The 16,865-nt window shown below is 43.8% G+C and overlaps 1 protein-coding gene and 1 long non-coding RNA gene across 6 annotated transcripts in view, besides 1 other annotated feature; one reads left to right on the forward strand and one right to left on the reverse strand.

Annotated features, from left to right (window-relative positions):
- Window positions 1–16,865, forward strand: part of CCNY (cyclin Y) — a 325,643-nt gene that overhangs the window by 187,088 nt on the left and 121,690 nt on the right. The window lies entirely within an intron of this gene.
- On the reverse strand, window positions 9,299–12,876 carry LOC124902410 (uncharacterized). The gene is made up of 2 exons (XR_007062112.1): window positions 9,638–12,876; window positions 9,299–9,483 (listed from the first exon to the last, which is right to left on the reverse strand). It is a non-coding gene; the product is annotated as an uncharacterized LOC124902410 (long non-coding RNA).
- Window positions 13,917–14,587: an enhancer, noted in NCBI's record as "NANOG-H3K27ac hESC enhancer chr10:35736957-35737627 (GRCh37/hg19 assembly coordinates)". NCBI's record gives its function as "activates a minimal SCP1, AML or CMV promoter by ChIP-STARR-seq in naive H9 embryonic stem cells {active_cell/tissue: H9 hESC(naive)}" and the evidence as "EXISTENCE:reporter gene assay evidence [ECO:0000049][PMID:30033119]".

Here is a 16,865-nt window from a genome sequence, read left to right on the forward strand (position 1 = left end):
GGTATTAAAAACCAGTGACATGTAGCATGAAGGCGGATGAGGCCCATATTGCTAATGTGATGCAGATGTGGACGTTCATTGTGGCTTTGGTTTTTACCCACAAAGGCTGTAAGTCTGGAAAAGACTGGCCCATTGCCATGAGTAATTATGTTGTCTCCCTCTGTCTGAAATGGGGATTTGGGTGTGATGGGTTCAGGGAAAAGTGATGGCTGTGTAATCTCTCCACTCACAAATGCGTTATGACCCTGATGGAGTGCCCAGCTGAGCGCACTGTGGAGTGGCGCATCCTCAGGGACAGAGCCTGGCTATGGACAGGAGAGTTTTGTCCTGCTCTTACTTTTGGGACTAATACTACACATATATGATTTTATGATTTTAGAGACTTGCATTATTTGACAAATGGTATTTAAAAAAGTTTTCAAATGGGAAGTGTTTAATTTTGAACTCTGTTTTTCTTGGTGTAAATTTTGCCCTTAAGTGATCCTTTGTCAAACACTTTTTACAAAACATTTAAGAGCAAGACTCTCCTTTCCACTTAGGAAGTATCACTCTTTATTCAGAGGGATGCTTTGAATGAAACCAATAAGTAGGTATTTTCAGAATGACTTCCCCTGTTTGCCTTGTTCATATCACAGTTCTGAGAATGACTGTATTTTTTGACCCATGTCTAGGCACATTTGCCCTTCTCAGCTGGGGCTGCTGCTTGGATAAGACTCTTTTCTGCTCTCTCAGTTATTTATTGCTTCTGTTTTTCTCCCCTTTCCTCACTTTGTGCCCCTTATACTTTCTTTCTACTTAATGTATCTCCTGCTTCTCGACTCCTTTTTACTTTGAGAATGTCAGAGAACAGAATGATCTGTGCTGAGCGCTGTGAGATGATGGACTGGTGAAGAAGGCAGGGGGCGAGGAGGCAAATGAGGAAACCCAAAGCCCCCCTGCCTTGCAGAGGCTGCACCTGGATTGGGGCAATGAGTTGAGGCATCAACATGTGGATTTCATGAGTCTGAGAGATGACTGGGGAGAGTGTCTATCCAGGGCCAATAAACAGAAGAGGATGGTTGGAAACATGGATTTTAAGGCTAGGAGTTGGAAGCTCCAGGTCCCTATCTCTGCCAGGGCCTTCAGTAGCTACAGGGTAAGACACTTACACTTACCTGGTAATCAGTTTCCTTGTCTGTGAGATAATGGAAATAACTATCTGTTCTACCTATGGACAGGCTTATTGTGAAATTGAAATAAGATAGGATGTACATAAAGGCCCCTTGTAAGGGATTAAGCCCAATGTGTGGAATAAACCTGCCCCATACCCTTGGGGAACAGTGTGGCCTAGTGGGTCATATCGGGCTGTCTCATAGGCCCGTGTGGCCCATCTGCGTGGAGGACTGGTTCTACCTGAGGATAAGTAATATGAGAGATGATTTCTATACTAAAATAATCACACACGTTGTCTTGTACAATACAATGCTTAACCTTTATTTTAAAGATAAAACATGGCACAGTCAAGCTGCCGTTACAGCTCTGTGTTCTTTCTGGGTTACCTGTTTACACACTTTTGTATATTAGACTATTTCAGTCACAGACCTTGCGAGCTGTTGGTACAATCAGAAGCTTTTGTGTTGAGGACTCAGTGGACATGTGCTCAGAGGCTCTCATTAAATCTCTCTGGGCCTCAGGTTCTTCCTCTCTGCTGTGGGAACCAAATGCTAGGTATTGGTGAGAATTAAATGGGAGAACATCTGGCACAGATAATGGCTAAGATGTTTAAGTTCCTCCTCCTAATTATGATGGTAGTAGTGACGATGGATAGTGCCTCCTGTAGTTCGGAAGGAGGAAGTTAATTCTGGGTGGGAGGTGGTCAGCAGAAGTTCCAGAAAGGAAGGAAGTTCGGTTATGAAAGAGGGATGAAATTTGGATAGTGGACAAGAGACAGTTTCAGGTGGAGAGAGAAGCCCAGACATGGGAGCTGGAGAGTTGGGCAGGGGTGGGGCAGCAGCAGCAGCCAGGCCATGGGGAAGTGTGACATGGGGACTGGGCAAGGCCAGGAGGGAAGCCCAGGAGTGACTTGTGGGACCCTGAGTGCCAAGCAGGGATTTGGACATCGCCTTTTGGAAAGGCAGGGCTTTAGAAAGGTGTGTGCGGTGGTGGGATGCAGTGTTCACAATTTCCTGGTGAGCTGATCCTTATGGGTCCCCCACCCCTCAGCAGGTATCTAGAAAGATTATCTTGGGCATAAAGTGACCTCTGCCCTCCCTGTTTGTCAGAAGCTCTTGCTCCTGGCTCTTGGGGTTAGGTTTTCTGCTGCTGCTGGCTTTACCCTGCAGTTGGTTGAAGGGTTTCCAGTTAGTCTTTGGAGGCTGACAGTGTAGGACCTGGTTTCACCTGAGCTTGGGGCCCTGCTCCAGGGAGAGAGCTGTTGTGGGGGTCATGATGTTTCTGGGGTTGTGGATCTCTGACTTGTGGCAGAGCTTCGTGGAAGGACACTGGAGGCACAGCACTTGCTCTTACCCACATGTTGCTCTTTTCCTCCATGACTTTGAGATCCTTAAATACGTTACCTTTTTAGAACTGGTGGTGGCTTTGACTTCTGTACGTTGGATGAAAATGAAATCTGTACGTTGGATGAAAATGAAATCTTCAAAAATCTTAAAATGAGTTAATTTTTTCCTGTTTCTTTTTTTCCTTCTCTGTTGGTGATTTGGTTTACAGGTTCATGATCTATAATATTCAGTTTTAAGTTTTATATTTGGTAACTGTATTAATCTTTTCTCACACTGCTAATAAAGATATACCTGAGACTGGGTAATTTATAAAGAAAAAGAGGTTTAATGGACTCACAGTTCCACATGGCTGGAGAGGCCTGACAATCATGGCGGAAGGCGGAAGACATGTCTTACGTGTCAGCAGGCAAGAGAAGAAATGACAGCAGGGGAAATGTCAAACGCTTATAAAACCATCAGAACTTGTGAGAACTCACTATCATGAGAACAGTATGAGGGAAACCACCCCCACGATTCAGTTATCTCCACCCGGCCCCACCATTGACACATGGGGATTATTACAATTCAAGGTGAAATTTGGGTGGGGACACAGAGCCAAATCATATCAGTGTCACTTGACGGAACTGGGTTTGCAATGCCAGGATCCTTGAGAGTCTGATGTCACATTTGCTGTGTCTTCAGGCAAAGGCCTAATAATTTGAAATCAAATTTTTCCCTAGGTGTGGCCTTAGGATCAACATTCATAGAACACTTTGCAATAAATTATTATTTGGCTATTTAAAGTATCATTTTCAGGCACTTTGGGAGGTGGAGAGGGGAGGATCACTTAAGCCCAGGAGTTCGAGATCAGCTGGGTAACATGGCAAAAACCTGCCTCTACAAAAAATACGAAAATTAACCAGTCATGGTGGCATGTGCCTTTAGTCCCAGCTACTTGGGAGGATGAGTTGGGAGTATTGCTTGAGCTGGGGAGGCAGAGGTTACAGTGAGCCGAGATCACACCACTACGCTCCAGCACTCTAGCCTGGGCGACAGAGCCAGACTCTGTCTCAAAAAAAAAACCAAAAAACACCACCACCACCTTTTCGATGAAGCTAGTATGAATAGAGTGAGAAAAGGTTTTTTTTCTAGAATTTTATAAAATCTGTAGCCATGTTTAAATACATGTAAACACCTAGCTATCCTGGAAGCACTGTTTTACTGTTTCCCCTTAGCTTTAGCTGAAACCTTCCAAGTCTTGCTTTTGGGTTGGGAATTTTTTACTTTCTTTTAAAAGTTTTTAAAATTAACAATACTAAATAGATAATAAACTGGAAAGGAATGAAAATAGTGTACAGGAAAACTTGTCCCCTTCACCCCACAGCCTACTCTGATCGCTGGATGCCAGTTCTCTGCTTGGCAGCAAATACTCTTACCAGCTTCTGTGTGTCTCTCTCTCGAGAGTCTCTGCATGCGTATTTATCATCATACAAATGATAGCGTCCAGGAGACACTGCTGTGGCCCTGCTTATTGTCCATAAAAACATATCTTCAGAGTTCTTTTTTTTTTTTTTTTCTGAGGCAAGGCCTTTTCTGTTTCCCAGGCTGGAGTGTAGTGGTGCAATCACAGCTCACTACAGCCTCAGCCTCCCAGGCTAAAGCTGTCCTCCCACCTCAGCCTTCCAAGTAGCTGGGATTATAGGTGCACACCACCATGCCTGACTAATTAAAAAAAAAATTTTTTTTTTTAGAGATAAGATCTCACTATGTTTCCCAGGCTAGTCTTGAACTCTTGGGCTCAAGTGATCCTCCTGCCTCAGCCTTCCAAAGTGCCCAGGTTACAGTCATGAGCCATCATGCTTGGCCTAACCATCTTTTTAAGAGTTATATAATATTCTGTTGTATGGCTGTATCATTGTTAAGTTAACCAGCCCTCTATTAATGGACATTTATTTGTAATCTTTCACTATTATTCAGTGAATATTTTTGTTTATAACAAGTCATTTGGTACATGTGGGAGCTATGTAATTGTCGTAAATGTTTCTCCTGTATACATTTAGAACCACAGTAGACATTGTTACACTGTTTGCTTCAATTGTCAAATGTAATTTGGAAAATTCAAGAGAAGGAGGAAAGCCTTTTACATTTTACCTTTGTTTTTACACACCCTCTTCTTCCTTTCTTCCTGATGTTCCAAGGTTGATTTATTTGATTTCCTTTTCACTTAGAGAACTTTGTTTAGCCATTCTTTCAGGGTAGGTCTGCTGGTGACAGTTTCTCTTAGTTTCATGAAAATATCTTGATTTCCTCTTCATTCCTTAATGATATTTTTGCTGATACAGGATTCTGGGTTGTCACCTCTTTTCTTTCAATCCCTGGCAAGCATCGTGCCACTTTCTTCTGGCTTTTCCTGTTTTCTGATGAACAATCAGCTGTCATTCAAATTGTTTTTTCCTTATAGGTAGGTGTCATCTTTCTTTGGCTGCTTTGAGGAATTTTTCTGTCTTTAGTTTTTCAAAGTTTAACTAGCTTTTTGAATCTTGGGTTTCTGTTTCTTGCCAAATTTGGGAACTTTTCAGCTGTTATTTCTTCATATACTTTCCAAGCCCTGCCCGCTGTCTTTTCTCCCTTGGTACTCTGATGATGAGAATGTTAGTTCTTTTTTCACAGTCCCACAAGTCCCTGTGGCTCTATTATTAGCTTTATTTCATTCTGGTCTATTTCTCGATTTCTCTCTATTGTTAAGTTTGGGTAATTTCTTTTGTTCCATCTTTCAGTTCACTGATTCTTTCTTCTGTTCTGCTGTTGAGCACATCTACTGAGCTTTTTACTTCTGTTGTTATATTTTTCAGTTCTAAAATTTCCATTTGGTACTTGTTTATAGTTTTTATTTGTTTGCTGAGCTGAGCCTCTTTTTCTTTGCTGCCTCTTTCTCTCTCTCTCTCTTTTTTTTTGTTTCAAGTGTGTGTGTGTGTGTGTGTCCTTGTTCATTGAAGAGTCTTATTATGGCTGCTTTAAAATCTGTCAGGTAACTTGAACATCTCTGTCATCTCAGTGCTGGCATGTATGTTCTTCATTTCGTACAGCTTGAGATCTAGCTTCTTGGTAGGATGAGTGATTTTTTTTTTTTTTAATTGAAACCTCCTGGACATTTTGGATCTTATTTAAACCTTCTGTTTTAGTTGACTTATGGCATTGCTCTGGCAGAGGATGGTGGGCCACTCCCTTGTTACTGCCAGGTGGAGACAGAAGTTCAGGTTTTACTTAGCCGCTGTTGACACTGAGGGGATGTGGCTGGGGCTCTTTGTTATAGTTGGTGGGAGTCTCACTTCTCCATGTTGTTTTCATTGATAGTGCAGCAGTGTAGGGAGCTGGTTATTACTGGCAGTGGAGGATGAAAGTCCTGGCCCCCTACTTGGCCTTCTTGGACCTAGAGGTGTTGGGGCATCTCATTACCACTTCACAATGGCAAAAGTTTAGGCCTCACACTCAGCCTTTGTTGGTGTGGATGGGACTGGAGCCACAGTCGTTTTTGGCGCCTGTGGAGTAGAGTGGTTATTATCTAAAAATGTTCTGTCTTGCTAGACAGGCTCCTTTCTGTTCTTTGGACAGAGAGAGCAGGTGTTCTTTGGTCTGTACCCTTCATGTTTGCAGATTGTCTCCTTCTTCAGCTTTTATCTGAGATAAGTGAGGCAGAAAGGAAACTCAGGGAACTCACCCCTGTGCTGTTTCTCATGTCCTTGTGTCCCTGGCCACTCTGGAGCAGAGGTTAGCAGAGGTTCTCTGGAAAGGGCCAAGTGGTCTCTGAACTGCTCAACTCTGCTGTTGAACCTCAGAGGCAAGCGTAGATGAGATGTAAGAGAACAGGCCTGGCTGCTCCATTTCAGCTTTGCTTATGAAAACAGCCTGGCCTGGATCTGCCTACCCTCCTCCAGACCCTTGCTTCCCACCCCTCCTAGTGCTGACTCTTTGCTAGATGTCTTCAGAATAAGCTTCAAGTTTTCTTCACTGCAGCGTATTCTGCTGTTTTAGACCCCTGTCCGGGGCACAGCTTTGTGGTGGTGATCACCTGTGGGAGAGAACTTCAGAATCAGCTCCTAGAAAGAGTGATTCTGGGCAGCAGAAAGGACGGAGCCTAGAGCAGTTTCCAAAGTAGAATGAAGTGTAATTGCACACGTGGGACTCCAGTCCCTGCTTATCTTTACTTCTGAGAAGCATTACATACATTTGTTAATTATGCTACAAGAGAGGTAGTCTTAACTCATAAACTGAGCTGAAAGAAGTCTAGATTTTCACGTGTCATTGCTATTTTAAGACATCTCTTTTCACACATCATTTTGTTTTAACAAGTGTACCTGGGAAGTTAAGGATGGGTGCTCTTATTTCCATTATATTGCTTTGGGTTTTTCTCTAGAAGAGAGAGTATACAATTGCCAATTCAGAAGTGATTCTATATTGTTAGCACCACTTATAAGACTCCATTTGCCTGAAATGGAAAGGAAGAGTCCCATAAGGAGCTAGAATGGGGCCCCATGTGGTATGAGGGTCAGGGAGAGTCTGTAGCACTGACAGGTGTTTTGGCCTCTTCTGAATACCGCCTTGTTTTACCATGTTGCAGAATGGAACCATTGTAAGCCAAGAACAAGTTGGCCTTTAAACTGTTGTTAGCAAAGAAGCAGAAGCAGTCTTCTTTGAAATGACTTTCATTTTGGAAGGAACAGAGACAAGATGAATAAGAGCTTTCCCTGATGTTAAGTGTTTGTGGCCTTAGAGAGTGGTACAGAGTTTCCTATGTATCTGCATTGTGTACGTTTCTTGTTTTCTTAATTTTAGGGCCCTATTATTACTATGCTTTAGCTTAGCAATTGGGCTTTTCAATGGAAAAAGCGGTAGGAGGCTGGGCGCAGTGGCTGCGAGGCCGAGGCGGGAGGATCACTTGAGCTCAGGAGTTCGAGACTGGCCTGGGCAACATGGGCGAAACCTCATCTCAACTAAAAATAAAAAAGGAAATAGCCAGGGATGGTGGTGTGTGCCTGTAGTCCTAGCTACTTGGGAAGCTGAGGTGGGAGGATTGCTTGAGCCCAGAAGACGGAGGTTGCATGAGCTGAGATTGTGCCACTGCACTCCAGCCTGGGTGACAGAGTGAGGCCCTGTATGAAAATAGAAAAGAAAAAGCAGTAGGTTATTAGCATAAACTTGATAAGAGTTCATGCTGGTGTATCTTATTTTAAGGTGTAGATGTCTTTAATAAAGTTCATTTCATTAAATGAAGTTAATTACGTATTAATTGTAAAATAAAAATGTGTTTCTCTGGAAAACAAATTTGGCTGTATGATTTAAAATGATCATACTTAAGAGAATACCCATTGTTGTAAAGTCTGTATGAAAGGAAAAGTTCCCATTTATAGTTTTAGTTAAAACGATGACATAATTTGAAAGAACTTAGATTCATTGTTGCATTTTAAATAATAGCTTAAAAGTCCTAGTAAAGCAATAGTGAAAGTGTACCTGGGTATAACACATGGGCTGGCTAGAAATGTCACTTAGCCTGCATGACCCACAGAGTGTTGCCATAACTCCTGATGTGTAGGGCCCTGTTTGCGTTGGAGTGATGCAGATCTCTGAGGCAGTGCTGGTTGCCCTCCAAGGGCTTATGGTGGTGGTTGGAGAAATAGAACTAAATAAGGGAAAATTAGGTAACCTTGAATGCTAAGCTTAGAACTTTGAAGCAGAAGCAATGTGAGTCATTAAAAGGACATAAAATTAACTCACAGTTTATTAGCCATCTGCTGTGCATCAGGCTCATAGTGTGGTGGGAGAGATGGCTTTATAATTGAAAGGTAGTGAAATAATGAGACCGGAGACTCATACAAATTGCCTGGATAGGAGGTACTTTGTTGGGAGTTTAGGGTGGTCTACCTGCAAGACTTGATATTTGAAAATAGTTTTTAAAAACAAGTAGGAGTTTGCTTGTAGGATGAGAACTTTTTAGTTAAGGGAAAACTGTTTGAAATACTGAGATATGAAACAGCATGATGTATTTGGTGAGTAGAAGACATTTTCATGTTTGGAACATATAGAGTATGAGTAATGAATTTGGGAGTATGAATAAAGAAACTACTGGGGATGGCTACGGGACGGGCTATTGATGTGGTTTGTGTTATTTTCTCCCTTTATTTCATATACAGTCGTGTCACTTAATGAAGGTGGTATGTTCTAAGAAGTGCTTTCTGAGAAATGTCTCATTAAGTGATTTCGTCATTGTGTGAACATGAGAGAGTGTACTTACCCACAAATCTAGATGGTCTAACCTACTACACATGTAGGCTGCATAGTATAGCCTGTTGCTCCTAGGCTACAAACTTGTACAGCATCTGACTGGACTGAATACTTTAGGTAATTTGAACACAGTGGTTAAGAACTTGTATATCTAAACATCCCTAAACATGGAAAAGGTACAGTAACAATACGGTATAGAAGATAAAAAATAGTATGCCTGTTTACCATCTCCATGAATGGAGCTTGTAGGACTGGAAGTTGCTCTGGGTGAGTTAGCAAGTGGGTGGAGAGTGACTCTGAAGGCCTAGAACATTTGTGTATACTACCAGAGACTTTGCAAACAGTGTACACCTAGGCCACACTAAACTGATACAAAATATTTTTCTTCACTAATAAATTAATCTTAGCTTGCTGTAACATTTTTACTTTATAAACTTTAAATTTTTAAAACTTTTTGACTTTTGAAATAACAGTTATAACACAAACACATTGGATAGCTGTACAGAAATATTTTTTTCTTTATATCCATACTCTGTATGCTGTTTTCTGGTTTAAAATTTTTATTGTCTTTTTAAACTTTTTTGTTAAAAACAAGACACAAACACACACATTAGCCAGGCCTACACAGGGTCAGGATCATCAATATCACTGTCTTCCACCAGCACCTCTGTCCCACTCTGTAGAAAATGAAGTAGAGGTTCCTCTTCAAAGGGACTTTCCTCGCAGTCTAATTGGGAATAAATAGTAGCCTCTCTTAGAAGCAAAATTTACTCAAAGACCTGTGCTAATATTCTTAAATATCTGCTAGCCGTAATAAAGAAAGGAATATACTTTGTGTTCTTAGCCCCCATCTTTTAGGCTAGATATTTCCCCTGGCATACCTGTACAGGCCCAAGAAAGCATTAGGTCATAGCCTGTTCCTCTTCCTTATTTGGAGGTGTTTTTGCCTTTCTCAGCATTCCACAAGTTACTTCCTCCTTTCCTTTGTTCTCCTCTATGTATGTCTCTTTTGGGATGTTCTAAGTTGCTAGCCAATCAGGACAAGTACAGAATGTGAGGTCCCATTCCAGCCAATGGAAACTGGACACAGCCATAGGGTGGACGTGTCAGACTATAAATGACCCTGTCTCTTTTGTGTGTGCTCTCTGGCAAAACTGCTAGCGAGTAGCACCCTTTCTGCAGAAAGTAAATTAGCCTTGCTGAGAGATCCTTTGTCTTAGGGTTGATTTCTGCGACATTGAATACCCATTTCCAACACACTTGAAGGGCTTTAGAGGTGACAGCACTCATGGAGCTGTTATCTCCCATGATAGCAAGGCCTTCTTCTGGTACCTCCTGCAGGCCCTGCCTGAGGCTGTTTCACAGTTAACTGTTTTTTGGCTTTTTTTTTTTTTTTTGGAGACGGAGTCTTGCTCTGCCATCCAGGCTGGAGTGCAGTGCGTGATCTTGGCTCACTGCAACCTCTGCCCCCCGGGTTCAAGCTATTCTCCTGCCTCAGCCTCCCAAGTAGCTGGGATTATGGGTGTGCGCCATCACGCCCAGCTAATTTTTGTATTTTGAGTAGATAAGGGGTTTCACCATGTTGGTCTGGCTGGTGTTGAACTCCTGACCTCAAGTGATCCACCCATCTTGGCTTCCCAAAGTTCTGGGATTACAGTTGTGAGCCACTGTGTCTGGCTATAACTGTTTGACTGGCAGCACAGTAGGTTTGTTTACACCAGCATCATCACAAACACAGGAGTGATGTGTTGCACTACATTATGATGTCACTAGGTGATAGCAGTTTTTCAGCTCCATCATAAGCTCAAGGGACTACTGTCATTGATGCAGTCTGTTGACCAAAACGTTACGCAGTGCATGACTGAATTTTTGTTTTAAAATTTTTTGCAAATGAAATTAGATTTGTATTTTGAAAAGGTAATCCTAAGAAAGCAACGTGGAGAATGGATGTAGGGGTGGAGGAGGCGAGAGGTAGAGATGCTAGGATATTGAATAGTCCGGGCGACAGATGATGAGGACTTAAATCAAGGTGGTGGAAGCAGTGATGGAAATGAGAGGAGCTTCCAAATAGATTTGGATATATGGGATGAGGGAACAGTAGAGATCAGGGAAATTTTTAGTATTTGTGGTTTGGCTTCAGGGTGATCAGTGGTGCCATTAACTCAGTTTGGGATTATGGAAAGAAGAGCATGTTTTGGTGGCAGAAGAGTTCACATCTGTGGAACAGTAAATGGAACTGCTTGTGGGTGGTTGGCACTGTAGGTCTGGAAGTCAGTGGAGGAGTGTCCCTTAAAAGGTAGATTTTGGTGGGTATTAGAAATAGTTGGAATTAAAGGAGGAGATGAGTTTACCCATGAAGGAGAGCCTTTAGAGAAGGAAGTCAAGTTCCAGGTAGAGCCATGCTGCCGCCCTGCTCTTCTGCCTCCCACTCTCCACCCATGCAGACATTACTAAACCATTACTGCTGTTTCCCACGGAGCCTGTGGGATCCTCAGAATCTTCTCAAGGCAGTGCACTGGAAGGCTGACAGGAACTGGGGCAAAATGTAAGGGTTAGGGGAAGAGACTGCATGGAGAGACTGAGCAGAGAAGCAGGAGTGGAGTCCGCATTTCTGCCAGGAAGGGTGGAAGACTGTTAGAGCTGGAATGTGCTGATGGATTTGGGAAGTAGGAAGTCATTGATGACTCTGGTGAGAACAGTTTTAATTGAGGGAGGGAGACAGAAGCCATGTTTTGAGGCTATTTGGAGCCAGGAGTAGGAGGTGAGAGACTACTTTTCCTAGGATCTTGACTAGGAAAGGACGGAGGTTGTTTGGAAACCAGAGGGAAGGAGGGGTGGAGCATGTGTGTAGGTGTAGGAAGTAGTTCATATCTTAAATAATCCTTTTATGTAATAATCCTGCTGATACTTGTTCTTTAACATTTTATTTTGAAACAATTTCAAACTTAAAGTTGGAGTAGACCTGTAATCACCAGTGTTAACACTGTGCCACATTTGCTTTATCATTTTTTTCTTTCTTACTACTTTTTTTTCTGAACCATTTGAGAGTAAGTTGCAGACAGTAAGTAGGTGCTTTTACTTCTAAATATTTCGTGGTCTTTAGGCTTCGTTTAGCACCCTTTACTCTCATAAGAAAAGTCGTTGGGCAGATCTATTAAAAATAACCAGAGTACTCTGCCTGCCTCCTTAAACATTTTGTGGTTATTTGTCTCACGGGAGGATTAAACACAGGAAATTTGGGACTTGGACTGTACTGGAAACTTCTAAAATATAATTGTTCTTTCAGATTTTGGTCTCTGTTGATTGTTTGCTGATCAACAGAAAAGGTGGAAGGAAATGATGGCTATTTCAGCCTTTTAAAAATAGTACTAAATGTTCGATTCCACAGTACAATACTTTATCATCTGAGAAGTAAGGTAACAGGTCAGTGAGGTTCAAAAATCTCTTCAAAATACTTACATGTCAAATGCCTAAAATATTCTCCTTGATGAAGATACTGGACACACATGCTCAGTGAAAAATGTGGAGTTTTTTTTCCCCACTAAATATAGATTTTCTTTCATTTAAATAGTACTTAATTGTCCTAAATTAACTGACCTCCAGAATGCATTTGTGTGCAAGAAATTGTTCCTTTGTCCTGTCCCTGCTTTTAGTAAAAGTGTGGTAGTGTAGATTTGCCAGGGATAGTGTGAATTTGGACATGAACTCATGGACAGGAATTGTAATAAGCTGTCATATCCAGTTTGTGTTTCATGAGCAGCTTCCCTTTGCCAGGGTCTTTGTGGTTAGTGATGATCTTCTTGTTGCCAACCCTGCCTTGTCACTGGCTCACTGGATCCTGGATGGAGCAGAGACTGACAGTGCTGGGTTGCTCCTCTTGCCCCTTGTGGGATCTGTGGGGCTGATGGCCCTCTGGGTACCATCCCAGGGCTGTTCGTTGTTCTCCAGCGGAAGTGTAATAAGCAATTTGTCTCTTCATTCCTGACAGTTTCAAAATTGCATGTCGAGATAAGTTCTAGATTTAAAAATTAGTGTCTCCTAATTTCTAATGTAATTTTTAGATAAATTGATTATACAGATTTTGGAAAACATATAGTTACCATGTAGGTTAAAGAAAGGTGGTTTAGGTCTGGGCACAGTGGCTCATGCCTGTAATCCCAGTACTTTGGGAGGCTGAGGCGGGTGGATCATGAGGTCAGGAGATCGAGACCATCCTGGCTAATACGGTGAAACCCCGTCTCTACTAAAAGTACAAAAAATTAGCCGGATGTGGTGGCGGGCGCCTGTAGTCTCAGCTACTCAGGAGGCTGAGGCAGGAGAATGGCGTGAACCCGGGAGGCGGAGCTTGCAGTGAGCTGAGATCGTGCCACCGCACTCCAGCCTGTGTGACAGAGCGAGACTCCATCTAAGAAAGCTGGTTTAGTTTGAATTCTAGAAAAACCATAGTTTAACACGTGGCTTTGTAAGCAGGACTTTCAAATGTAATCATGTTTCAAAAAGACAGGAGGCTTTACTAGCGATAACGTGGTAAGCCAGAGAGCAATTTTTATTTATATTTAGGGGCAGATGATGGGGAAACACCACTGTGGTCTTGAGACAGTGGGGTGATTATGACCATCATCATCATTATCTCTGTCATTTCTCACACTTCTTGATTTTACCTGCACGTTTCCATTTCTTAAGAAAAACTTGCTAAACCCTAAAATAATATAAATACAATCTTAATTTCTAAGATTTCAAGAGGTTTGAGGTGTTGTTTAGTAGCAGTGTCATTGCAGTAGCTTGAAATATTTATAAGTAATAACCCAAGGGTAGCATTTCTGCCATGAAATGCCAGAAATAATGGGCATGTCTGACACTTTGGGGAGTTTCTTGGCTTCCTGTGATTTCTGTTCTCTGGCTTGCTGAGTCTGTTTGGCACAGGTCGGATGTTTGTGCTTGGTCTGGAATTTGAAACACGTGGCTGTAAACCACAGATAGTTTGATAAAGGCATAACAGGCAGGAAAACAAAAGATATGCTTTTAACCAAAAAATGTAGGCCTGCCCCTGGCATTTCCCGTGATGAAGGTGTTTGAGGCTGTGCTTTGCCGTTCATGGTGTAGCTCCTCATTCGTTTTCAGCTATCAGAAAGGCCACTTGTTCTGGTGCTCCTTGGCTCAGCTGGCACCAGGTCACTGTCTCATCCTCCAGCCAGTGAAGGAGACCGCCTTCACTGTGGGAACCAGCGGCTCGCATTTTAATTGTGATCTGGTGACTTCTGTACAGCAGCAGATTGATGACAGCTTTGGAGGGGAACAGGTGGCTCAGTGTGATTGAATCGTTCTTTAACTCATTCAACAAGTAATGGCCAAGTACCTGCTCTCTGTTGGACACCATCTGGGGCCCCAGGGCAGTCACGAACAAAGCAGACCGGAGAGAAAACAAAGCAGGAAGTTAAGGGTGGGGACATGGGTAGGGCCGGTGTAGCAGAAATTCTGGAGCCAGGCTGCCTGAGTTGGAATGCGAATTCCCATTACTTGCCGTGTGACTTTGGCAAGCCCTTTAATTTCTCTATGTCTCTTTCCTCATAGGTAACATGAGGGTAATATTATTATTATATGAGTTGTACTAAATAAATTGGCATGTGTAAAATTCTTAAAATGGTGCCTGCCATGTAACTACTATGTGTTAGGTATTAGGACAGTGCTTATATAAAGGGATGTTATGGTGTTACTGTTAGGTAAGGTGACATCCTTCAGATACCTGAAGGATATGAGAGCTGAACCATGTGACTCCTTGGGGAAGGAGCCTTCCCAGCAGAGTGGGCATGCGCCTGGTGGGTTTGAGGGGCAGAGGGAGTGTGGGGGATGGAGGGGAGTGGTCAGAGAGGCAGCAGGGGCAGGGCATGTCCAGTCCTGTAGCCACTGTGAGTACTTTGCACTCTAGAATGGGGGCCAATGTGGAGTTTGAGCAGACGTGCTCCTAATGCAGTTTTGGCAGGATTCCTGTGGCAACTATGGAGAGAATGGACAATGGAGTATCCCCAGGGGGTGCAGTGTGGGTTAGACCCTGAGGCATGTCAAGGGGCAAGGTCAGGGGATTTGCTGGTTGGCTGCATTGGGTGGGAATAGCGAGGGTGGAGGATGAGTGCAGGCCTTGAAGGGTGGAGTTGCTCCTTAGTGACTGATGTAGACTGGAAGGAACAGGTCTTGAGCCTGTTGATTTTGATTTACATGTTAGTCAACAGGGGAGCTGAACGGGCAGCATGGGAGTTCAGTGGAGTCAGTGCTGGAGATAATAGCATGGGAACCATTGGCATACTGAGGGTATTCATTACAGTCTTGTGGCTGAGGTCACCACGCAGCGAGGAGGGAAGGGACAAGGAAGCAGCAGAGGTGTGTGTGAGAAGGAGCTGAGGAGGGGCAGAGATAGGGGCAGGGAGGGGGGTGAAGAGAGAGAGATGGTCCCGGCAGTCAGCGAGGGAGACATTTTGAGGAGAAAGTGGGCATCTCTAGTAAGATAAGGACTGAGATGTGGCCATTGAATTAGCAGTGGCCTTGGTAAGAGCTGGAGAGTTGGGGGTGGGAGCAATGGCCCTACTGGGCAGGGTTCCAGAGAGAACAGGGAGGAGGAACTGGAGCACGCAGGAGCCTGGCTGAACAGGAAGCAAAGAAATAGAGGGAAGGCTGCAGAGGGGGAGGCTGGTTGAGAGCTGTAGTTCGGTTTTTGGAATGAGAGTAATTACTACGCGTGCCTGTGCTGATGGGAAATGCATGATGCAGGAGAGAGAGGGTGGGAGGGGCAGGGATCCATTGCCGAGTAGGGGGGCCGGCCCCAGGGAGGTACCTTTTTAGGGACCACAGGTCAGAGAGGTGCAGGGAGCAGAGATGGCAGGGTGAGCACAATGGAGGCAAGAAGGCTGCAGTGCTTCTCCTGGCCTCTGTCTTCTCAGCTGAACGGACAGTAAGTTGAGAGTGCCAGGGAGTGTTGGAGGTTGGGGGAGAGACAAAAAGGGCCTTTCCAATGATGCTATCTCGCACCACTCAGGGCCTACCTGAGTAGGGTGTCAAGAGTTTACGGTGGGACCAGTCAGCAGGATTCTGCATCTCCTCCAGCTGTGTACAGCTGCTTGGGGCAGAGGAGATGGGGAGTTAGATTTAATCAGCTCTGGGATTTGCCAGAAAGCGCTTTGGAGGGCAGAGGAACGTGGTGGCACGTGAGAGCACCAGGGAGCCAATATGACTACAAGGCTGTGGCTCTGAGTCGGGTAGAGAAGAAAGCAAGGATGTAGCAGGGGGAGGGGTGGCAGAGAGGTGGTGGAATCGGGCTTTGTGGTCTTGGTGGGTGGAAGAATTTACAGGGTTGGGATGTCAGGGAGTGAGTTGGGAAGGTAGGAGATGAGGCTCAGAAAAGGGCTGCTCAACTTTGAGAGCAGGGAGTCCTTTTGGTGACTTACAGGGAGAGGGTGGAGGTTAAGATTAAAACACCAGGCCTTGCAGGGCAGTGGCATCCTGGGTTTTAGCAGTGTGTGGAGGATGTAGGACATTGTGCTGGGGATGTGTGCTCCCTGGGATGGTTTTGGAAGTTGGGAGATGGCATTAGAGGCTCTTTGGAGTTTTCTGGGCTGAGAGCTTGATTGCTAAGGGACAGCCTGGGAGTTGTCAGCTTCTTGAGCTGACAGCCAAGTGGGGATAAAGCGTTTCTTCTGATGGAAAGGTTGTGGTTCTGAGGCTGCTGGCACATTGGGAAGGGCATCTTGCGGGTTCCCATCATTGTGGAGCTACATCTTTATTTCTGAATGTTGGACATGGGGCACTTGGGGAGGCCAGTATTACCAGGAGATTTTTCTTTTTTTTTTTTCTTTCTCTTTTACCTTTTGTGTATCAGTATTTCTTAATAAGAAATGCCTATTTATTTAAATTCGGTGGGAGATATTTTTGACATAATTTTTTCACTTTCTCTCTGTCCTCTGTTTTGGAGAATGACAGTGATGGAGCAGTGGGCTGGGAGCCTTCCTGTCACCAGCACCTGTGACTTTGGAGCAGCTACTTCCTCTGGGACTGTTTAAAAGAAGGGGTGTGGGGCTCAGCTTTAAGGTCCTTTGGTTTTAGAATTAAACTCTATTTTGT

The sequence above is a fragment of the Homo sapiens genome, chromosome 10 (genome assembly GCF_000001405.40).
Source record: "Homo sapiens chromosome 10, GRCh38.p14 Primary Assembly".
Classification (NCBI taxonomy): Eukaryota; Metazoa; Chordata; class Mammalia; order Primates; family Hominidae; genus Homo; species Homo sapiens.